The 25,942-nt window shown below is 35.3% G+C and overlaps 1 protein-coding gene and 1 long non-coding RNA gene across 11 annotated transcripts in view; one reads left to right on the plus strand and one right to left on the minus strand.

Annotated features, from left to right (window-relative positions):
* Positions 1–25,942, minus strand: part of ROBO1 (roundabout guidance receptor 1) — a 1,170,760-nt gene that overhangs the window by 813,314 nt on the left and 331,504 nt on the right. The window lies entirely within an intron of this gene.
* On the plus strand, positions 1,175–24,675 carry LOC101927374 (uncharacterized). The gene is made up of 3 exons (NR_110133.1): positions 1,175–1,482; positions 18,056–18,183; positions 22,858–24,675. It is a non-coding gene; the product is annotated as an uncharacterized LOC101927374 (long non-coding RNA).

Here is a 25,942-nt window from a genome sequence, read left to right on the forward strand (position 1 = left end):
TTTCTGAATCATAAGGAGAAAACAAGAGATTAAAGGAGAAAGAGGAAGAAGAAAGAAAGAAAAGAAAGGAAGGAAGGAAGGAAGGAAGGAAGGGGTGGAGAGAGGGAGGGAAAGAAAGAAAGAAAAAGAAAGGAGAGAAAGAAGGGAAAGAAAGGAAAGAAGAAGAGACGCAAAAGAGGGATAAAGGTCCAGTAATAATTTGGTACTGGGAAATTCGGTTGGCAGCAGAGCAAGTGAAATCTCTGATTGTTCCAGCTTGTGCTGCTTGCAGTCCCCATTGATCTCTCCACCACAGCTTTCCAACTTCCACTCAAATCAGTAAAGCAGAACAGTAAATAGGCCAAAGTATGATTAAAACAAAAGTCATAAGATTAGCAATTAGCTTCAAGCCTACTTTGAATCTTCTTCTTTTACTGGAGGAATTTCCAGTAAAATAAGTTTATTGGCATGCCTTTTCTGAACATTCAGCAACATTTTAAAAGCAGCATTTCCTCTCTCCAAACTGATTCCTACGTCCATTTCTATGTCTCTTTTTGAAGATAAATATAGATAGACATAGGACTTCTAAAGTTCTACTTTTAAAGTTCTAAGCTTTACACACGCACGCACATTTCCACCTGTGATGACCTATAGGGTGATAAACTGTAGAAAAGACATTGACTATTCTTGCCAGTTAGTTCAGAGGCAGGCAAACAACAAATTCATAATCCTGTCCTGTAACACATGAGACATATTCAGTCCTAAAGACTAAAATAGTGGTTTTTGACATTTCTTAAATACACAGACATATTTAATGATCAAATTGTGGAGGTATTGCATTTCCATACAAAGTGAATAAACAAGTTAGTGACTCTAGACAGTAATATATTTATCAACCACCAATTGTAAAGTATCAGCTTTTAAGTTATTCTAATCAGAGTCTCTGTAATATTTGCTGTTTCTCATTGTATTTTCTTGTTACCCTCAGGACAAAGTGCTAAGATGCAAGGAATTTTATTACATATCTAGCATTTGAATATCAACAAATTTTAGCAACATATTTGAACTTCATGTTAAATTACACACATGGCCTTTGGATCTATCTGCTCAAAGTCTTTGCAAGTCCCAGGAATTCTAAGAGTTAACTAGAAAAAGCCAAACAAAACTCTTGCAATAACATCTAGAACAATATTGCAGATGTGTGGAGCTTACGGAATGTGGAGCCCATTTATTTTGCATGCACATTTAATGTGAAAAATTATTTTTAAGTTCTAAAGCAACCTCTCGGAAATGCTAAGAACTGCAAAGCTACGCAGACCCTGATGCATTCCTAAATATAATGAAGAAAAAACAGAAATGCACCAAGAATTGAAAACCCTGGTTACTCACGATTCTTTTCACCTTTCCACCTTGACCCAGCTTTCGTTCTGTCCGAGACACCCACAGGAGAAGTTATCTCAGCCATCGAGAGCAGCAGCATCAGTAACAGCACAGCCATGCCAGGTAAAAATAACCTCTATTGAGAGTTCTGTCACAGACGAACCTGAAGGCTCTTACTGGGAATGGAAACCTGGAGCCAATCCTGTCATTTTATTCAGCAGAAATGCAAAGATGCTGTTTTTCCCATAAATTTTTAAAAAGCAGGTATATTCTCAACAAGGCTTCTATTTGAATTATCAGGCAAGGTTAAAAAAATTAGAAGAGATGTAATAGCTTCCTTGGTACATAAGCACAAATGCCAGGAGAGATAAGCTGACAGTTTTCTCTGGTCTTTCTGCAGCTACTAGTTCCTAACCTGCTCCTGCCATCTCTCACTTCTTCCATATGTTTGTCAACATTTCTCATAACATGATAATAAGGAAAAGCTGTGATTTCAGCATTTTCCCATCTATCCATTCTGTAGCACAGATTATAGTACTTGACAAAATTGAATATTTAATTTTGGCACTGCAAACACACCTCACTTCATTTCAAACAGAGGTGGTTGTTAAGGAAAGAAAAAAATCCCACTTGTTCACAGAGCTCTGACATCTTGGAGAAAGGATTAGATGTATAAATATCTGCTGCTAAGACATGATAAAAATGCCTCTGGAAAAGGGGGTGGTAAACAATCATCTTTCTTACTTAGCTTGTACTGTGGGATTTCTGTATTCAGAGAATACTGTATAAAGACAGTATGCCAAAAATATTCCAAATTCATGAAGCCGGCAAAATGTAATGTACATTGCACATTCAAGGATCATCTGCAATGCATCATAAACACTGATTTGCCTTGTAAATACATGTTGGTATATTCCATCTCTCCTGTTTTCTGGAGAATGATTTTATTGCCTCATGAGCTGATTTTTTTTTTTTTTTTTTTTTTTTTTTTTTTTTTTAGTAAATAAGAATTATCTGCTTTACAATGAAGTCTACTTCCCATGGGCAAATGGAAATATTGTATTGATTATATTGGAACTATACTAGAACAACATTAGTTTACCTTCTGTTTGGGACCAAATTTATTAATTTTTTAATAAAATATTGTTATGCTTCCAAGAACATTATAGAACAATAATATATATATATTTCTTTTAACAAGCACATAAAGTTATTTTCAGACATTACTAAACACATAATATTCTACAACCTGAGCTATTTCTACACTTAAAGAGCTCACATGGCTGCCAAAATATATTTAAAAAACATGTAACTGATAATGGGCTATTTACTGTTAGCTCCCTGTTCTGCAGCAGAGTGAAAATAAAGTAAGGTCAAGAACCAAATAGGTAGAATAAATGATTAAAACAAGCTGGGTATAAGGCAAGAGGGATAGGAGGAGATTGTGGCCAGGTGCAGAGAAAAGTTCTGTGAAAAGAGTAAGCTCAAGAGCCAAACAGGTAACATAAATGAGTGAAATAGGCTGGGTATAAGGCAAGAGGGATAGGAGGAGATTGTGGTCAGGTGTGGAGAAAGCTCTGTGAATGGTGGCAGCTGCCGGTAGACTTCAGTTGAATGTTACCATATGGGTTACAGATTCAGGATTGCTAGATGTTTCGATTTCAAGGAGAAGCTAGAAATTGCAATTATTATGAGAAATCTCCTAATTTTTAAAGCAAAAAAGGACATAATTTCAAACTTCTTAACTAGGCATAAAAGGCAGACTATTCTGAATCTGTTTCCAACTTGTATTTTGCCAAATTTTTAATTAAAAATATGCTTAAATGCTTATATCTGAAATTTTATTAATGACAAAGATCCATAAAGGGAACTTAGTGGGAGAGACATGTATAAAGAATTTTTTATCTGCCAGGATAAATTCAATGAAAATCCATATACTGTTTTTATGAAATCACAGAGGAGAAAATATCTGACTCCCCAAGGGCATCAGGGAAGGCTTTTTATTTTTCTTCATTCCTTCTAGGAGCCATAAAACCTAATCATACCAAGAAACTTTCCATTTTCCAAAAAAGCATGAACTTCCAGTCTGTCGACCTTTTTATTTACTTTCTCCTCGAAATACCTTTTTCCCATTTCTACTTTATATACTCCTAATAATGTATAATAGCTGAAGAGAGGTTTATCTTCTCAGAGTTTCCCAGGAGTTATCATTAACTTTTCTTAGGACTTATTCACCTGGAAGTAGAGAACTTCACACATTATATTAACAGTCTCTCTCTCTCTCTCTTTCTCTCTCTCTCTCTCTCCCTCCTCTTTCTCTTTCTCTTTCTCTTTCTCTGTGTGTGTATGTGTGCGTGTGTCTTCAACAGTAGGTATACAGCTCATTGTGGGCTTTGCTTTATTATATTTTCTTTATATTCCTAAATTCAGTTATGATTGCTGTACATGAAAGAAAATTGTCAAAAGTTTGTTGAACTGTGGTAAATTTTACTGTTATGGATATTAATTTGAGTTGATACATTTTAACATTAAAATATGACTCTCTAAAACAACCAGGTTATCCTGGTTATTCTTTCATCCTCTGGGTAGTATATATTTATTCATATGTTGTCCTTTGTTTTCCTTGGTAATTAGTATTAGAAGATGTTATAGATAAATAAAGAAACCTCATTACATTTATTCCTTTTTAATTTGAGATAATCATAATCATCAAATAAAAGCAACACTTTAGTCTGCTATAATCCATGGTACACTAGTAAAAGCTCAAAGCTTATATTCAGTATTAATTTTAGGTCATAAGTATTGAGAGATCATAAAGAGAGAGCCATTATAAATATGGGAAACTGGATCTAGAAACACATTCAAAGACTAGCTTTCAAATCTGCAATTTTTTAACATAAAGTACTGAAGATTATCAGCAGATGGGTGTAGTCTGATCTAAAATTATGAATTGGTTCAAAGCCAGTTGTTTGGCAGTCACATCCTAAATTGCACATGTCCAGAGCTATTTCAACTTAAAACATTAAGCAGGCAAACTGCATGTCTGCACTCTCTCTTCCTTCTTGTTCCAAGCAGTTGTCCCACTTGGCTGTGCAAACTCACTCTGGTCTGAGTCCATGGAGTTGAGCAATCTCATTCTTCCTAAGTGAAACTGATCAGTACCATCATGTCACTAACCATATAAATACATCCTGACTCACGGAAGTTAATGTGAGTAGTCGAAAGCCTTCTGCCATTCATTCATTCAACAAATATTTTCTGAGCACCTAACATGTGCATCTTTACACCGTATTTTGTAGAACAACTGCAAGGAATTGCAGTGAAACAATAGATGAAGTTCCTGCCTTCATAGAGCTGATATTCTAGTGAGTAGAAATGGACGCTGTATAATAATATCTTACTTTTAAACACATACTTTTAAATTGCATCTGTAATAAAGTTAAAGAGAAGATTTCCAGACATTATAACCATGGGACTTAATTTAAAGGTTCTTTGAGAAAGTGATGCGTAAGCAGAGAAATGAAGAATAAATAAGTACATGTGGGGCAAAAACGAGACAAGCAGAAAATGGGTGTAGTCAGACAGGAAGCTTACACAAAAATTCCTCAGGCATAAAAGAGCTTGTCACATATTAGGATGAAAGAATAGCGAGAAATATGGGTAGAGACCTTTTCAGTTCAGGCCCTGGAAAGTATGTTAACAATTCTGAACTTCATTCTGTGGTTTTAAGAAGAAGCAGATTTTTGCATTAAAAGGTTACTCTTCTTTCAATAGAGAGAATAAGTTAGAAAGTGTCAAAGTGGAAGCAGGAAGACCAGTTAGAAGACCATCTGATTATTTAGGTGAAAAAATGTATACTGGCAATGATAGAAATAAAAGGAAATGGAAAATGAATAGATTAGAAACATTTTCTGGAGGCAGAACAATGATGTTGGTTGGTGAATTACACATAGAAAGTGGGTAACAACGGGTTTCAAGGTTGCAGCTAGGTTTCTGGGATAAACATTTATCTCGAGGTAGAAATATTTAAGCAAATTTGGAGATCAAGGATGAAAAGAACTTAATGTTCCTGTCATTGGTAAATAACTAAAAAATGTCACTATCACTTCAGATTAGATAGAGAAGGAATGATGAGTGTTGGGTCAGAAAGAAAACAAATATATACCAACATAAAAAAAATAACACTTCAAATCTAGTAAGAATCAGCCTATTTGTCTGCATTCTCATATAAGGAATATTTGAATTAAATAGAACCACGATGGCTACAAAATGGTAAATGCATTTACAGAAGTAAGAGTTGTTAACTAGAAAACTAGTTAAGGGCTATTGCAGCAGTCCAGGCAAGAGATGATAAATGGCTTCGAGTTGTAGTGGAGATAGAAAGAAGTATAGATACGAAAGAGGTAAAATTGGGCAGGGTGCTATGTCGCATGCCTGTAATCCTGGCACTTTGAGGCTGAGGCAAGAGGATAGCTTGAGACTAGGAGTTCAAAACCAGCCTGGGCAACATAGTAAAACCCCATCTCTAAAAAAAAAAAAAGAAACAACAACAACAAAAAATTAGCCAGGTGTGAGGGCACACACCTCTAGGGAGGCTGATGTGGGACGATTGTTTGAGCCCTAGGAGGTCAAGGTGCAGTGAGCCATGATCATGCCACTGCACTCCAGCCTGGGTGAGAGAGTGAAACTCTTAAAAAAAAAAAAAACCGAAAGAAAGAAAGAAAAAAAAGAAAACAAAAGAAAGGGGTAAAATTGATAAACTTGGTGTTGCTTTGGTTGGAAAAGATGCAACCATAGCTATTATTTATAGACAGTAATGCTCATCCATGTGTACCACTAGTTGTTACTTCTTGAGGCGAGGCATCTCCATGCCATATTTTGTAGGATAATGTACTTGTCTGGAATATAATATTCTGAGCATAACCACAGATGTTAAAAGGATACATTTATTCCTATGGCACTCTGCAAGTGGCTTACACAAACATTGCCTCCATTAATCCTGAAATCAGTTTTGTGAAGTTAGGCTGATCATTCATAATTTCTCAGTTAAAAAAGTAACAATAACAAACAAACTCTGACGTTTGAGAGGATAAAATACTTTTCCAACATTAAATACCTAGGTAAAAAAATTAGCAGAACTCGCATGATGGTTTCAAAATATTTCCACAAATATGTTGGTACTCCCTCCTTCAAGAAGTGGATCTTAATTTCCATCCTCTTGATTGTGGACTGAGATTCTATTGAGAAGGGGGTGGAAATGATGCTGTGATTCTAAGTCTAGATTGTAAAAGACATTGGGGTTTTCTTTCTGCTCTCATTCTCTTTTTGATCATTCACCCTGGGGAAGCCAGCCACCATATTGTGAGAAATCTGTTGCAGCCTGTGGAGAGGCTCACATAGCAAGAAACTGAGGGTTAGTCCACTAACCAGAAGGGAACTGATGTTTGCTAACAATCATGTGAGTGAGTTGATGGACTAAAATGACTACAGACCTGGCTTACAGCTTGACCATAACTTTAATGAAAGACCCTGAGCCAGAACCTCTCAGCTAAGCTACTTCTAGATTCCTGATCCTCTAAAACTATATGAGATAATAGATATTTGTTGTTTAAAGCTGCTGAACTTTGGGGGTAATTTATTACACAGCAATAGATAACTGCTATAGTCTGGATCACAAGTAACTACTTACTCTCTTTTCATCCCAACTACTTCCAAAACCATGGTTATAATTTCCGCATTAGCTGGAGGCCATGACTGCAATTATAACTTTAATCAACATCACTGTCGAATCTCTTTTACATCAGTGAGGTCAAGTGAAAATGTATTATTATGGGGGACACCAATTTGCACAATTGCATTCTAATCAATCCTATAGATTAGTTTTGTTGGATTAGAGAAGTATTTTTGTGTGTTTTTAAGTGAGACATTTAGCTCCCAGGTCACACAGTTCCTAATATTTCCTGATCTTCTACTCCAGCCAGGTGGCTATGCGTGTTTAAGTTATAGTTCTGGTTTTAGAATGTATCACGACCAGATTATTACAAAAACACCATCACTATCTCACACAAAATGGCCTCTTCATAAGATAGATAGCCCTATGAAGCCCCTAGCACAGCACTGGACACATTGTAGAACCTCAAGCAATATACAAGTGATTCATTGATATGATATTCACCTAGAATGAACATCAGCATGGTGGAATAAACACTATGAAATGTGTTTTCTTGTGTTTTTACCATTTTTACTTTCTCTAAGAAGCTCTGTATTTATCTCTGGTACCTGCACTGGCACTGGTGTGTTTCTTTCTATGGCTTATGAAACAGAATTTCCCACTCCTTAGAAGTCTTCCATTGATTGTTATTTTGGTATCATATTAGTGTAATCAATAGTATTATAGCACATTAGAGATGAACAAGAACTCAAATCTCAATTGCAATTACTTTTCTATCTCCCAAATTGGATTCAGCAGATGTGATGTATAAAGATATATGTGGCCTGAAAATAATTTTGTAAAAATGAATTTATTGTGTCCCTAATGCCATGATCAATGAAAAAATCTTCAGCCATGATTTCCTCCACTCTTTCCACCATTCAGTAGAACAGCTATTTTTATATAGTCTAATAATTATTTAATTGCATGAATAAATTAACAAGCAAAAATAAAGCAAACTGTTTTATGCAAATAACATTAACACTGTTTATTTAAATTGGGCACCACGGTGTAAAACAGGCTACTAGCAGGCACAAAATCCTTTTAGTAACTATACAAGAGAAAGATAGATACATACATAGACGGATAGATGAATTGGAACACTGTGTTGAGTGCTAAACAGATATTAGACATAACCATGCCCACAAATTCATGATCATGCTGACCAGATAGCAAGAAAACTTAGAAGATAAATAAAATACAAATAAATCAGATTCTAAAAAATTAAATAAATACTTAATTCTAAGAGGGCTTGGGGGATGTATTAGATCAGAGGTGTGTGAGAAGTTCTGATTCAAGTGGAACTCAAAGTCCCCATTTGTCAAGGATGAATGATGACTAGTGTTACGATCTTCAGTCCAGGAGTGAAAAGATCAGGAAAAAGACCTACACGTGCATTTGCAAGGCTGTGTCCAGAGGGCCATGTGTGGCTGGATCAGACAGTATTTGTAGAGAAATCCGTAGTGAAAGATAAGTTAGTTTTACATATTGCAGGATAGTGATTTGAGGAGTATGGAGTTGAGTCTAAGAGCAATGGGAAAATGGTACAAGTTTTGAGCAAGTTTGAGAGAGAGGGAGAAACCAGCCACTGTAATAAATGGAAAGAACAGTACAGTATCAGCAAATTGATAGGTGTTTAATGCTTAATTAGACAAAGAAGATGATCCCTTGGTCATGTATTTAATTAGCCCCTCTTATACACTGGAGTCACTCCAGCTGGAATATCACAAGTGTCCCTCCCTTGAGTATGACATAGTCCAGCCTCCAGAAAGTGATGAGTCAGTTTTTTAAGCAGAGCCGTGGGTTGTGTCTGTGTAAAAGAAAAGCTACACGTTTGACATGTTGAGAAACTAAAGGGTGGTGATAGCTCAGCTTGTGACTGGTGAAAACCACTCTCAGGATCGCTCCCCGTTCTTCCTGCATGCAGAATTCTCCTTAATGTGAAAAAGCCTTATTTTGAATTCTAAGTCTAATTTACTACAGAAAGATGCTATGAGAGGGTTTGGGCCCTCTGATGACAGGAATTGATGTTCATCCTGCCACTTCCCTCAAAAAGTAATTTGAAAAGGAGACTGCAGATATTTGATACATAGGAGTCTCATTAACAAACCCTAGACATAAAACATAAGCCATAAGGAAAGTATATCTAGCCTTTGGGTTTGAATATTACTGATTTGGATTTTTATTAAATAGAGTAATTTTAAGGAAAACTAACTCTTTGAAGACTAACATTTGGAATCTGACCTTAACATCATTTCATAAGGTAAAAATACGTACATAAGGTATGTATACATAAGGTATACATACGATATACAATGTCCCTAGGAATTTTATTTCTAATCTATGAAATTTACTTCTGGCTCTCTAATAAGCTGTTGGAAAACCTGATGGCATTAACAGAAAATGAAGTCTTTTGCTAGAACTTAAATAGAAATAACTGTGATGCTAGAAAGTGCTACTTTGTCTCACATATAATTTTATTTAATCCATTCTATGAGTATCATTATATTCCTACCTGAACAGGTGTTTCAGAATTCATGAGATTCTGCATTTTTAGAACAGTAAAAGTCAAATACCTAATTTTATCATTGACAGGAAAAATTAAAACATTTATATACAGAGGAATATTAAATAACCAGTATTTGTGAAAAAAGAATGCTTTATTCAATTTAATTTTCTGGTTAAATGAGAGTGAACTAGAGAATCTTGCATCCATGTTAGTAAAACCTTCCTCCAATACATTTCTTACCAACGAATACAAAGTCTTCCATATCAAATTTAGTGTTTCATTAATAAATGTGGCTTTTGTGATATTTGAATTTCATCAGCGTTATTTTCTAGGACCGTGAGTGTGGCCATTGATAAGGATAGCATATCCTGGTGAAAGGTTTAAGGTAATGTTTGCAAAGATGACTGCAAAAGTTCCTGTCATCCCAAATGTCCATTTGTGTGTGACTTTGGCGATTCTCCCATGAAGACGTAGAGTCTCTTTCAGCACTACTTGAATCTGAGTTAGCTTTATTATTTGTTTTGACCAATAGAATGCAGTGAAAGCAATGCACCTGACCCTTGAGGTTGGATCTTAAAAGAACCCATTAAAAATTAAAAAATAACAGATGCTGGTGAGCTTGCAGAGAAAAGGGAATGCTTAGTGATGAGAATGTAAATAAGTTCAGCCACTGTGGAAAGCAGTGGACAATTTCTCAAAGAACTTAAAACAGTTACCATTTGACCCAGAAATCTCATCACTGAGTATAGATCCAAAAGAATACAAATTGTTCTACCATAAAGACACATGCATGCTTATATTAATCACAGCACTATTCACAAGAGCAAAGAAATGAAATCAACCTAAACGTCCATCATTGGTAGGCTGGATAAACAAAATGTACATATACACCATGGAATACTATGTAGCCATAAAAAAGAAATAGAGAATGTCCTTTGCAACAACATGGATGGATCTGGAAGCTATTGTCCTTAGAAAAGTCATGCAGAAATAGAAAATGAAATACAGCATGTTCTCACTTACAAGTGAGAGCTTTACACTGAGTACATATGGACACAAAGAAGGGAACAGTAAACACTGGGACCTAATTGAGGTTGGAGGGTGGGAGAAGGATGAGAATTAAAAAATTACCTATTGGGTACTATGCTTCCTAGCTGTGTAATAAAATAATCTGTATAATAAACCCCCATGACACACAACTTATCTATACAACAAACCTGCACATGTACCCTCATTCTAAAATGAAAGTTAAAAAAAAAAAAGAGAGACCTTACAGCATCTGCTTTTGCTCCAGTGGAAATCTGCCCGGAGACTGCCACAAAAGGAATCTGTCATATACTAGTGCAGGGTGAGAGGCCGTGTGGGGAAGAACCCAGGCACAGGAGCTGACAGCACCAGGTGCCAGATATGAGCAAAGCAACAATGGACTTTCCAACCCAAATCATAGCAGCAGTCTGTTTTCTGCAATAGGACTACTTAGCTCAAATACATACAAGCTCAGCTCTGTGTCTTAGCTTCTTTTTGCCTTAGTTTCCTGCTCTGTGAAATGAGGGTAACAATACTATCTGATTTGTTGGGTAATTGACAATATTAAATGCAGGAATGCAAATAGATACATTAAAATATTGCTGACGGTAAAGCAAGCTCTAATAAAATAAATAAAATGTTAGTGACTAATGTTGTTGTTGTTGCTGTTGCTGCATTTTTAATTATTTATCTTTTACAGAAAAGGAAACCAAGACTCAGTGAAACTAAATATTTTGCACAAAACCACATAGCTATGAAACTAGGATTCAGGGCCATATTTATTTGTTCCCGAGTCCAAGTGATTAACCACTGTACATTTTTATATCCACTCTGCAACTCTGATTTATTCAGGGATAGTTGTGTGGCATTAATTGTGACCAATGAGTTAAAATGTATATTTTATATATAAAAATATATATTTTAATGTATTATATATAAAAATATTTTTGATTATATATTTTATGCATATTATATACAATACATATTTTATGTATTATATACAATACATATCTTATGTATTATATATTATATTATATATTTTGTATCATATTATATATTTTATGTATCATTATATATTGTAAATACGTACAAGTGAAATAAATAATATTTTGATTAACCTAGTGCAACTAAGTTAAGCACTTTAATATAACTTTGTCCAATGTGTCAGCTCCTTGCCACCTGCCTGGCATCATCTTCTATGATTCCTTCTTACTAACCCTAGATTTCAGACCATACATCCTGTGCACCTTCTGCGAATGCTGTTAGTAATATACTACGTAACATTGCAAAGGGAAATTGACAAACATTTATTAAAACTCTGTCCTAAAGACTTCGTTGATGTACTAATTAGTTAAACCATCTTTCTGAGGATCCCTGAGTGTACCACTTAATCTTTTACTACAGAAAATAAGAATGAGAAAGGGTAGAGAATAGCAAAAAGGAAATAGAGATTTTTTTTCTAATGAGTTTGGAAATAAGAATGGTCTTATGAGAAATGAGGGCTTTGTTTAATTCCAAATGCATTCCTATGCTGGAATTGCAATTTACTTGAGTTTTAACAGATGTCATACCTAAGTTCTCAAACTGTTATGATCCATTTGCACATTCTTGTACAGAGCAAAAGCAAAGATGTGGTAGTGCAATATAAAAGTAGAATCAAGAGTACTTTATCTTTGCTCATTTTTATTTCTGTGGTACTCACCTCCCACTCACACAGAATTCTTCCATCTCCTTCTCATTTGATTGCACTGTCTTGAACTCAATTCATATTATCTCTGCAGTGCAACCCATCTTTTGATACAACCTTATTTAGTATATTTCCACTACTGTATAGAAAAAACCACCTGGTTGTGCTGGAGAGAATTATTTACTCTGCTCAAACGTCTGATATATCCTGAAATAAACATGGATTATAATGGGATACTCAAAATCAAACAGAATTAAACTACCATGTTAAAAAGACAGCAACTATAAACATAGATTCAATTATGTAACAAACCTGAGAGTATATAAAAAAATGTTAGCAGTCTGGTTTCACCATTCATAGACCAAGAGGTAGTCTGAAAATAGATGAGATTAAAATGGGGGTGAGTCAACCTCACCTGTAGTGAATAGAAAGCCAACCCTCCTCAGAAATGAAGGATCTAAAGAGCTATCAAAATATTTTATTTCTTACTGCTAAGGAAACTTTGAGTTATGCATTGACAATCTTCACTTTCACTTCAAACTGTAAATATTCATAGGAAGTAATGACATGTTAAATTGTTATTACACTTTCATGAAGTGTGAAATCTCAAGCGACAGCTTTATGGTGTTATAGGCCTGCATTCCGATCCTGATAATGCCACTTACATAAATAAATAGGTCCATATTTATCTATTGGCAGGTCAGTCCTCTGAGCTGAGCCTCTATGTTCTCACCTGTGAAATGTACAGATTGAGAATGCGTGACTCATCACATTTTTTTTGGCTCAATTGACTTGATACATGGGCTTATGATTTATAACTGTAAGTCAGCATACCAGTACTATTTTTATTAGTTTTTCTAACAGCAGGCCACCAAAAGATTCAGTATTCAGCATTACTGACGACAAATATAAAGTGTAGTTTTTGCGGAAATCCACTAGAGATTCACAGGTATATGTACAAGGAAACCTCTGGTGAGTAGAACTGCGGGTAGGACTGAAAAGGAGTGAGATAGGGATTCAGATGGAGGAGATGAGAAGCACATACTTTTTTTTCATAATTCTCCCATCTGCCCATATTAACATACAGTTATGTTCATAAGACTGCCCCTCTTTATTGCTGAAGGTACCACCTGGACCTTCTAAATGCATGGATTTAGAAGGATTTGTTTCTATAAATATATGATGTCTTAGACATCATATTTACTCTTGTAGTTTCTTCTTTTAAAGATGTTGCTAAAGCAACATTTCTCGTAGCTAGATGGCTGCATGCGGGTAAAGATACGGTGCCTGAATTACAATTATTTACTTATACTCTAAGCAACTAAGTTAAATCTACATTTTTAATTGTAGAAAAATAAGATTTACTTGACCTGGGAAAAGGTGACTGAGGCACTCAGCTCTGATCTAGATTATTCAGGGGATTTCCCTCAAATTAACCATGCACAAAGTTATTCACTAGCTCTACACATAATCAAACATTTGAGACTGTTTCACACTGAATATGACCTGGACCAGGTTGAATCTCTTGCACACATAACATTCAGAAGTTATTGTATACTCCTCAAGTGAATGAAAATATCATATCATATATATATATATCATATACTCCTCAAGTGAATGAAAATGACCTATTAGTCATTTGTTTCTTCATGTATTCATATTCAATAAACATTCAAAGGCTCACAATATGCCAGGCACTGTTCTTAGAACAGTAAACATAATAATATGTTACAAAGAGACAAAGCTCCGTTTCTCATGGAGCTTACACTGTCATTCTTCTCTTACTTTTTCATGAAGATGGACAAAACATCCCAAATATGGTGCTCCCCAAGACCATAGCCCCTGAAAAAGGAGTAATATTAAGAAGCAATGTATTATAGAATGTAACCTTCTCTGGATGTGGGAACTTGATCTAGGGGATCCCATTCCATAGGTTGCCCAATTTTCTGTTTTGTGAAGATACGTTGGGCCAGTTAGATATTAACTCTTAAAAATATGAATCAAAAATATAAACAGAATGAGGCAGAGAACACAAGAATAGAGACTGAAATCAGGTAAAGAGGAATTCTGTAGGAGAATGAAGTCATGCTAGAAGGAAGTAAAAAACGCAGAAAACCTAAACCCTGAGGCTGAGAACAGTAGAATTTGAGGACATCAGCTGATAGCGACATGCTCCTTCATGCCTAGAACTGCCTGGGATTCTAGAGCTAGGTTCCATCTGACTCACTCGTCAACATTCCTTACAATTCTAGAGGGGTGGCCTGCATGTGATTTCTCCATCTTCAATAAATGCATATGACTATTTTTTTTCTATTTCCATTATATGCCCCTCACATTTTATTCATTTATTAAGATGCACATTTATACAGAATTACATGGAGGAAAAGGTCATGGACAGAAACTTGTTAGAAACGGACCACGCTTCCTTGATGGCGCAGTAACCAATTGAACGGCAATTTATTTCAATTGGTCTATTTAAGAAGCTAGAAAACTATTTTAAAAATAACCGTAGTTCAGGTGACAATAAGAACAAAATGCTTAGACCTCTCTGATCTTCTGAATCCTGAGAACAGATTTTGGAAATGCTATGATAGGTCAGGTTTCTACTGGATTTAGAAGGTCTTTTTATTTTCCACTTCAATCACAACAGTATAAGCCAGAAAGCAGATGAAAAGACAAGTGGCTGCCCAGAGGTTCCAGATTTCTTTGGCTAGCACTGAATTAGTAGACACAAAAAACCCAAGGCAAATGTCAAATTGTATGTAGATGAAGTCTACATAAAACAAAGATTAAGAATCTGTTGAAGGAGCAAAGACCATGACTAAGGAAAACATACAATGAGAGCAGAATGGAACACACACACACATACACACACACACACACACACAGAAATACACACATACTCAAAAAAATGTAAAATTCAGGTGATGCAGACCAGACAGAAAACCGAGTGACCATTTCCCTAGCTACAAATTGGAATAGAGAGGAAATTAGAAACACAAACCTGGATTTCACACGCTCTCACTTGTTATTGGTTGCATTGTTTTGCACTTCTGATAACTGTATATATCTGTTCTCATTCCACATTGTGGCTTCAGCTGTTCTCAAATAATTTTTAAATTTTTCACATAGATTTAAAATTGATTAAGAAATTTTTACAAAAATCTGGGCAGAGTAGCTCCTACCTGCTTGCATTTTTTTAGTATCCAGAAGGAACTGAAGAGGTATGTACCTGCCACATTTGCTGTAATTCCGTCTAGATACACGTGTGTTACATAAGCACAATTCGAAAAATTCACTATTTTTATTTGAAAGCAATAAGGATAAAATATCATTGCATCAACACCTGATAAAAACATTAAACTATGAGAGGAGAAAAGATTCAATAGATGTCTTTTTGTACATCACGATGTAACACAAATAATATACATAATATACGCAAGTCCAGGTCCCTTAGAAACTGACATTACTATTACTTATTTCTCTTCTCTTACTTCCTTTCTTCATATATAATTTTGTTGTTGTTGTTGTTTGTTTGTTTGTTTGAGATGGAGTCTTGCTCTGTCGCCCAGGCTGGAGCACACTGGTGTGATCTCAGCTCACTGCAATGTCCGCCTCCCAGGTTAAAGCCATTCCCCACCTCAGCCTCCCAATTAGCTGGGATTACAGGCACCCACCATCATGTCTGGCTAATTTTTGTATTTTTGTAGGGATGGGTTTCACCATGTTGGCCAGGCTGGTCTTGAACTCCTGACCTCAGGTGATCCACCCGCCTCAGCCTTTCAAACTTCTGGGATTACAGGCGTAAGCCACCGTGCCTGGCTTCTTTCTTCATGTAATTCTATCATGCCTATCTCACAGTAAGCTTTGACAGAACTAGTTTCACTGTTTTTTTTCTTTGAATTCAACTAAATGACAGGAAAACCATCTAAGGTAACTTGAGAAAACATTTTAAAAATTAAGTGATTTAGTGTACACTGTCAAATATAGGTCTTAACCATTTTTGAAATAATGAAAATGAAAAAACAAGTAATTCTGGGCAGTATAAAATTACCAGATTATTTATTGTCTGTTAATTGTTATGATCAGTCTTATATAATCCACAAATAAAAACAAAAAGTCTATTAAAATTATTCAATTAAATCCTTATCCCGGTTTTATAAAACAAAAATGGCCATATTCTATTACTGCTTCAGACTAAATAGAACTTTGTGTATTGGAGACTGACTCTTTCAAGCTCTGTACTTGTTTTCCAAGATCCAAGTCATTTTTCTTTCTAATTATAAATTTAGATCTTTTACATTCAATCAAAACTTCACATCAGTTTATAGAGATCTCTGATTCGAATAGGGATTGTGTAAAAGCAGAAGACCAACTTGTACATATGAACAACTATTGTACGCACATCCTAGTGGCATTTTTTCAAGTACTTGGATGCTAACATTTTCAGTTTATGTTCTGCTCAAGATGCCTTTCAACACCCTCGCTAAAAATGTACATTTTAGAATACTCTATTTTACTTTAGAATAGCCAGCTCTGGATTATTTCTAATGTCTATTTAACCAGCAAATGAAGAGGCAGGAGAACGTTGTGTTTAGGGGACGCAATTCTAATGCCAGCTTATCTGGGCTTGAATATCAGCTCTACCAATTGTGGGTTGAGATAACATGGGCAAGTTCCAGGACATTTTTTGAGTTTCAATTTCCTCATTTTAAAAATGGAGATGCTTTGGCACTGGCATAAAGTCAGACATAGACCAGTGGAACAGAATAGAGAACCCTGAAATAACTCCATACATCTACAGTGAACTCATTTTTGACAAAGGTGCCAAGAACATACATCGGGGACAGGACAGTCTCTTCAATAAGTGGTGTTGGGAAAACTGGATTTCCGTATGCATAAGAATGAAACTAGACTGGTATCTCTCACCACATACAAAAATCACATCAAAATGGATTAAACATTTAAATTTAACACTTCAAACTATGAAACTACTAAAAGAAAACAATGGGGAAACTCCCCAGGACATTGGACTGGGCAAAGATTTCTTGAGTAATACCCCATGATCACGGGCAACCAAGCAAAAATGGACAAATGGGATCATATGAAGTTAAAAAGCTTCTGCACAGCAGAGGAAACAAGCAACAAAATGAAAAGACAACCCATAGAATGAGAGAAAATATTTGCAAACTACTCATCTGATAAGGGATTAATAACCAGAATATATGAGGAATTTATAAGGAGCTCAAACAACTCTATAGGAAAGCATCTAATAATCTGATTAAAAAATGGGCAAAATATCTAAATAGCCATTTATCAAAAAAGACATATAAGTGGCAAACAGGTATATAAAAAGGTGTCCAATAGAGGTATCAGAGATACCAATAGAGGTATCAAAATATCTCATGTAACTTATACACACCTACTATGTACCCACAAAAATTAAAAAGAAATATTAATAAAATGTATAAAAATAAATAAAATGGAGATTCTAGTGTTAGCATCTACCTTATGCATTCTTTTGATAATACAATAAATTAAAAATATGTTGAGTGCTTAGCACAGTGCCTGTGACATGGGAGGTGCTGAAAAGATTCTCAACAATATAGTTATCATTTCAATTATTGCACCCATTGTTATCATCCTCATTATTATTTGGCAGTATATTCTCTGGTATATTTTTAGCGGGAATGCAAAATGCTAAAGCCAGCATACTAAAACAATGTACCAGTTTCTTATGAAGTTTCCTTATTTGTTATCATAGACTCAGCAATTCTGCTCTTAGAAGTTTTACCCAAGAGAAAAGGAAAACACATGCCCACATGAAGAGTGTTTATATCAGCTTTATTCATAATCACCTCCACCTGGTAACAACCAATTGTCCACCGAATGGTGAGTAGATGAGAAAATTGTGGTACCAACATACAGTGGAATATTAAAAAATAATTTTAAGAAATAAATATTCATACATGCAACACCATGGATGGATTTCAAATACTCTATGTTAAGTGAAAAAAAAAATCAGAAAGAAAAAGCTACTGATTGAAAAATGTAATTGATATGATGTTTTAGAAAAGGCCAAGTTATAAGAACAGAAACCTGATCAAAGTTTGCTAGGAGAATGGACTACAAAGGGACATAAAGGAACCTTTGGGGATGACGGAAATATTACGTGTCTTAATTATGGTGGTGGTTACATCACTTTATGTATTTTCTAAAATTCATAGAAATGTACAGCTATAAAGAGTAACTTTTACTGTATGTAAATTGTATCTAGATAACCTGACTTGAAAGATGAAACTAGAAATACGTGCATATCAAGTCACTATGGAGGAATATGTGAAAATACGAACAAGTTACCCTCCAAGGGCCATACATACACTCCTTTGAACAAAACTTAAGCTATGATTGGAGTTGCTGGTTCATCCTAAAGCATTATGTCAGAATCCAGTTACATCCACAAAGTTCATGGGTATTCCTGAGATGTTGCTTTTTGAGCTGGACCGTAAAGCCAGGAAAACGTGGAAGTAAATATTCAAGATCCAGGGTCCACAAGTCTTCAGTTTTGCTCAAAGTCTGACCCTCTCTCACACTCAGGTTCCGGGTCAGCAAATACAACTCATGAGGATGGGCCCACAAACACGCAAAGCCTAATCCAGGTTATAGAGTTATTAACAGGAATCAGTTCAGTGGAGTGAAGGGACAAAAAACAAAATAAACAAACAAACAACCTGATTAACTGGCACTGAGCTAAACAAGAAAGCTCCTGGCAGCAAGTGAAGAAACACCCTGTTGGCTCTAAATTCTTAAGCTATTCAGGTTTGAAGCCAGATAATTTTGTTGTAGTAGTAATCCAAAGACAATCAATTTTTATGTCTGACACGTCTTTGAACTGGCTACTCCATATCCCACCAATTAAGTCTTCTTATTGAATAATGCCCATTAGTTTCTTTACCTTTTTATTTGAAAATTCTGTTTACAAGCAAGTAGCAAACTATAGAGCAGTCTTTTGATTTAATTGGTTCTTATTTTATTTTTTCTTCTTAAATATAAGATATGTCTGATTATTATTATTATACAATAGATGCTCTCATATTTGCTATTATAAATTGTCTGAATTGTTATACCTTCTTCTTTCCAACTAACTTTTCTCTCTCTCCTTTTTTAACTTTTTTATTGTATTTGGTTTTCAAATTTAGCCATAGTCTAACATTTATGATACAATTTTAAAATTGATGATTATAATTTTTAAGGATTGAAAATGTTTTATAATTTTACAAAATAAATAAAAATTAAAGACTTTAACTAAATCAACTTGTTAAGGTACTATAGGCCATGCAAGTTACAAAAACTGGTCTTTTGAAATATCTTAAACATGTAAGTGTAAGCAATATTTATAATTCGTAAATTTTCAGAAATTAAGTTCAATAAAAATAATACTTTACTCTGCTTAATTCATGTTTAATTTGTCCAACTCAATATAATTTAATTTCAAACATTTATAAGGATGCAGACAACCTATGCCAACAAATGAGTAAACAAATCAAAAATTCTTTGGAAGTCCTGAAGGACTATAGCCACTTTTTAAACTTAAATTGATTTCATTTTTGAGAAAATGATGTTTCTCTCAATTGATTAGACCCCTAAGAAATGAACGGTTGGGCCACCCTACCATATAGAAAGCCCCAAATAGCTGAAGTGCTAATTGGGAACAAAAGGAGCACAGAAGGAATGCTAGAGTTGTACAAAAGAATCACAACTTAGTGAATGGTTGCAGAAATGAAAGGCTGTAGAGTCCCATAGTTTTTTCCTTTCTTGGCCTTGAATGTATTTGTGTATAGTAACCAATTTCCATTTTTCCTCTTGTTCCTGTTCTCTACATTTTTTGAAGATTTTACAGAATGACAAATTGGGATTGCAACTGAATGAGAAAAGCTTGAATACATCCCAATGTCTTATTCAGTTAAAATGAGATTATAATCAAATAAGTTATTGATGGGATTTTGAATTTCCATTTTTGGGAAGAGAATGAAGACATTGTGTATGATTTAGTGCATTATGTTAGACTGGACCAAATTTTTATTGTTATTGTTGTATTTGGAAGTATAAGTATTTGTAGTAGGATGTAAATGGATGTTTACATGAAAGTTCTGGATATGAATAGGTTCTGCCAGGTAGGTGTAATTGCATGAACTTTGAAGGGCAAAAGGAGGTAGTGGTTATTATTCTGCTGTTGTGGGTATTACAAAAACAGAGTAGAGATCAGTGTTGGCTGACCCCTGTACTGCATATGTCAGTGTCTTGTCACCAGCAACTTGGCATGAGGGCCAGTTGCGTTAGAGACAGAGCACCAGTTTCCTAATGTACTACAACTAGTATCATATACAAATGTCTTCATGCTGTTTCCCAAAATGGAAACTGAAAATCCCATCAATAACTTATTTGGTTATAATCCCATTATAATCCCATTATAACCAAATGAGACTTTGGGATGTATATACCAACTACAGTGGTGATCTTCATTCCCACCGTGCAAGTGGTCCCCCAAGTTTCTTGGCTGCAGTCCCTCCAGCAAGTTTGTAAAGTACTGTATTCCATGTATACCATCCCTTTCCCCTAAAATAACACTAGTATCTTCTGTTTTCTCCGGTTATCCCTGACTGCGATACCATGGTAATGCAGACTTTTCAAAAGAGAATAAAAGGTGGAAATTAGACAGATTCAGAAGACAAAAACATGGTACAGAAAAAAAGTACAAATCATTTACTAGGCAATGTAATCAGGATTATTTCACATATGTACTTATTTGCAAAGATGTTTCTTTTATTTAGACAAAATGTTTAATTGCAAGGAAATATAGAAAATAAAAAATGACTCAATGAAGCTAAAGCATTGTGCAGGCAGGCATCTTCTAGCAAAACACTCAGACAAGAAAAATAATTTGACATTTTTATGTCAGTGAATTGAAAATGTCTGAATCCTTTATAAATGAGTCCAGCAAAACTTTATTAGCTAAAGCTAAAATGTGTCATGCAATTACCAAATCACTCATTTTTCTAGCCTGCACTGCTTGGGACTAAGGACAAAGTAAATAGAAAAGGTGCCATTTTTGAATAACACTCTTAGTAGATAAAATGACAATGTGCAAAGTGAGATAATCTAATTACTAAATTGGAAGTAACTTTCCACCGAAGTTTGATGCATTTACAGACATTATAAATGTGTTTAGCTGATAATCCTAATTAGAAGAAATTATTTCTTTTTGTTTTTTAGATTTAGCGAAATGTTTTTATTGTAAAGAAAGATACAGAGGCTGCCTTGAAAATCTGAACTCCTTAATGCCATTTCCTTCAGCAAAACAGGCATCTCTTAGAGTGTCAAGACAAGACCCAGGTATAATAGCAAGACAATGTAATGAGTTATATTTCTTGCCCAAACTGCAAACAGACACCTCATATTTATTCCAGTTTACTTATTTGTGCCATACAAATATTTTTATGTGTTCCATGTGAAATGGGTTGAGACAATTTGGTTAAAGGGGAGGGAATAAACTCGAGACCATTACATCACTCATAGGAATTTCAAACCCAAACAAAGATCAAACTATCTTGTTAATAGGTTTCTATGTTGAAAAATAATATATCACATCCTTAGAGTCCTAATCATGAGGCATTTAAAAATATATTAGGAAATAATACAGGTAACACGAGCAAAGCATGATAACATTTTGAATGGCTTAATTCTTTCGCACAGAATTATCTAATGCTTACTAAGCATCTCTGCCAACTCCAATCTCAGCCTAAGAGAGAGATAGAGAGCAAGAGAACTTGTATTAATGTCTGCCCCGCAAAATATACGTTTCACCCTACCCCACTCAGGGTTCTCATCAGTTTCAGGCTGCTTACTGAATCATGCTGTTTTAAGAAAAATCAATGCCACAATATTTCTTTTTAGTCAAGGGTCACTAATAGCATCCTTGCTGATTAAATATTACCAACACATGTATAATTTATTTAGGCCATGTATTATTATTGACTTGGAAATAATGGAAAATCCTGTCTTCAATATTAGTCCAAAGTTGTTTCCTAAGGATTAATATAGTTCAAAAATAAAAGCTAAAGTAAATTATGTATAGTTATTTTTAAAATGTCATTTTAGAAAACATTTTTTAAATGTCCAACTTCTATTTGAAGTTCAGGGGTACATGTGCCGATGTGTGGGTATGTTACATAGTTAAATGGGTTCCATGGTGCCTTGCTGCACAGATCATCCCATCACCTAGGTATTAAGGCCAGTATCTATTAGCTATTCTTCCTGATGCTCTTCCTCTTCCCACCCCTCACCCTCTGACAGGCCTCAGTGTGTGTTTTACCCCCTCCTCATGTGTCCATATGTTCTCATCATTCAGCTCCCACTTAAAAGTAGAACATGCGGTATTTGGTTTTATGTTCCTGTGTTAGTTTGCTGAGAATAATGGCATCCAGCTCCATCTATGCATCTATTGCATCTATGTCCCTGCAAATGACATGATCTTGTAAAACACATTTTTTATTTTTTATTTTTTAGAGACAAAGTCTAGCTCTGTTGCCCAGACTGGACTACAGTGGTGTGATTATAGCTCACATCCTCACATCAGACTTGCACTCCTAGACTCAAGCAATCCTTCTGCCTCAGCCTAAAGAGTAGCTGGCTACAGGTGTGCACCACCAGACCCACCTAATTAAAACAAGGTTCCATGTTCATGGGTAGGAAGAATCAGTATCGTGAAATTGGCCATACTGCCCAAGGTAATTTATAGATTCAATGCCATCCCCATCAAGCTACCAATGACTTTCTTCACAGAATTGGAAAAAACTACTTTAAAGTTCATGTGGATCCAAAAAAGAGCCCACATTGCCAAGACAACCCTAAGCCAAAAGAACAAAGCTGGAGGCATCACGCTATCTGACTTCAAACTATACTACAAGGCTACAGTAACCAAAACAGCATGGTACTGGTACCAAAACAGAGATATAGACCAATGGAACAGAACAGAGCTCTCAGAAATTAATACTGCACATCTACAACCATCTGATCTTTGAAAAACAACCATCTGATCTTTGACAAAAACAAGAACTGGGGAAAGGATTCCCTATTTAATAAATCGTGCTGGGAAAACTGGCTAGCCATATGTAGAAAGCTGAAACTGGATCCCTTCCTTACACCTTATACAAAAATTAATTCAAGATGCATTAAAGACTTAAATGTTAGACCTAAAACAATAAAAACCCTAGAAGAAAACCTAGGCAATACTATTCAGGACATAGGCATGGGCAAGGACTTCATGTCTAAAACACCAAAAGCAATGGCAGCAAAAGCCAAAATTGACAAATGGGATCTATTTAAACTAAAGAGCTTCTGCACAGCAAAAGAAACTATCATCAGAATGAACAGGCAACCTACAGAATGGGAGAAAATTTTTGCAATCTACTCATCTGACAAAGGGCTAATATCCAGAATTTACAAAGAACTCAAACAAATTCACAAGAAAAAAGTAAACAACACCTTCAAAAAGTGGGTGAAGGATATGAACAGACACTTCTCAAAAGAAGACATTTATGCAGCCAACAGACACATGAAAAAATGCTCAACATCACTGGCCATCAGAGAAATGCAAATCAAAACCACAATGAGATACCATCTCACACCAGTTAGAATGGCGATCATTAAAAAGTCAGGAAACAGTGCCGGAGAGGATGTGGAGAAATAGGAACACTTTTACACTGTTGGTGGGACTGTAAACTAATTCAACCATTGTGGAAGACAGTGTGGCGATTCCTCAAGGATCTAGATCTATTAATACCATTTGACCCAGCCATCCCATTACTGGGTATATACCCAAAGGATTAGAAATCATGCTGCTGTAAAGACACATGCACACGTATGTTTATTGTGGCACTATTCACAATAGCAAAGACTTGGAACCAACCCAAATGTCCATCAATGATAGACTGGATTAAAAAAATATGGCACATATACACCATGGAATACTATGTAGCCATAAAAAATGATGAGTTCATATCCTTTGTAGGGACATGGATGAAGCTGGAAACCATCATTCTCAGCAAACTATCGCAAGGACAAAAAACCAAACACCGCATGTTCTCACTCATAGGTGGGAATTGAACAATGAGAACACTTGGACACAGGAAGGGGAACATCACATACCAGGGCCTGTCGTGGGGTTGGGGGAGGAGGGAGGGATAGCATTAGGAAATATACCTAATATAAATGACCAATTAATGGGTGCAGCACACCAACATGACACATGTATACATATGTAACAAACCTGCACGTTGTGCACATGTACCCTAGAACTTAAAGTATAATAAAAAATAAATAAATAAAAATAAAACAAGGTTCTTTTAGAGACGATGGGAGGTGGGTGAGAGGTGGTCTTGCTATGTTGTTCAGGCTGGTCTTGCGCTACTGGCTTCAAGCGATCCTTCCACCTCAGCATCCTGTGTAGCTGGGATTACAGGTGCAAGCCACTGGGCCTGGCTCTATCAAACGTTTTGAATCATATTTATTTCCACATGCAGCACTTTTCTCTGAAAATCTGCACTGTATGCACGTTATTCATTTTGAGCCTACCAGAGCGGCAGTCATATTATTTTTTAGGTTTATTCTTCTCTCTTAAGTAGATAATAAAGAGCAATTTCTATAGCATTTTAGGCTGAGTCTATGTCGGAATTACCATATGTGCACATGATTCTAGACACAAACAACATTACTGAGATTCCTGTAGGAACCACCAGAACTCAGGATTTGTAAAGTATTAATCAAATTGAGTAAAGGAATTTGTTTCAGAATAGTTTAAGACATCCATTATAAAATTCTGGTTTTCTGACATTGGGTATTCTCTTAATTTGAGCAAACTTCCTGTTGAACTTGTATCAGAGGGTTGCCCTTCCTTTGATAGCTCCTCACTAGGCCAAGAGCAAAGTGAATGTAAGATAATTGAGCTATCTCTAAAATAAACTTTTTCTACTTTTCTGAGTTTATTTCTCTGAGGGGAGAAGATGTTTCCTTCAATTTTCCTATAAAAAGCTGATCAATCCTAAAATTTGAAGCCTAAGAAAAGGAAGAAACTATTGTGAGAATCAGAGTCACTCATGAGGAATTTAAACCACTGCAGAGATAAAACCCTGTGTAACAGTTAATAGCTCTATATGCCAGGAAAACACTGGACCCTTGTAAAGAAAGAATAATAAGTTCTCAGTACAAAAGAAAGCTACTTTAGTTTTTAATCCTATAGATCATGGTTTCATTTAAACTAAATTTTAATAATATGTGCTAATGAATAAAATGCCATTTTAAAAATAATAAATGAAACTTAACAAATTGCATATGGTTAGTTTGCCTTTAAAAGACTAAAGTATTTTTCCATTGCAATGTTTGCATTTCTAAAGGGTGGACAAAACCTTTTATTTTTAGCCGGCCAATCTGTACCATGTTTGATTTGTATTTTTTTTTTGTTTTGGTGAACATGAAAATTCTACATTAAAAATTATAATTCCCCTTTACCAGGGAACTCAACTTTCCATCTTATTTCACCGCAGATAGTTTTAGTGTCTTCAGTCTTTCATTTCAAAGTGCTTATATTTAATAT

The sequence above is a fragment of the Homo sapiens genome, chromosome 3 (assembly GCF_000001405.40).
Source record: "Homo sapiens chromosome 3, GRCh38.p14 Primary Assembly".
Classification (NCBI taxonomy): Eukaryota; Metazoa; Chordata; class Mammalia; order Primates; family Hominidae; genus Homo; species Homo sapiens.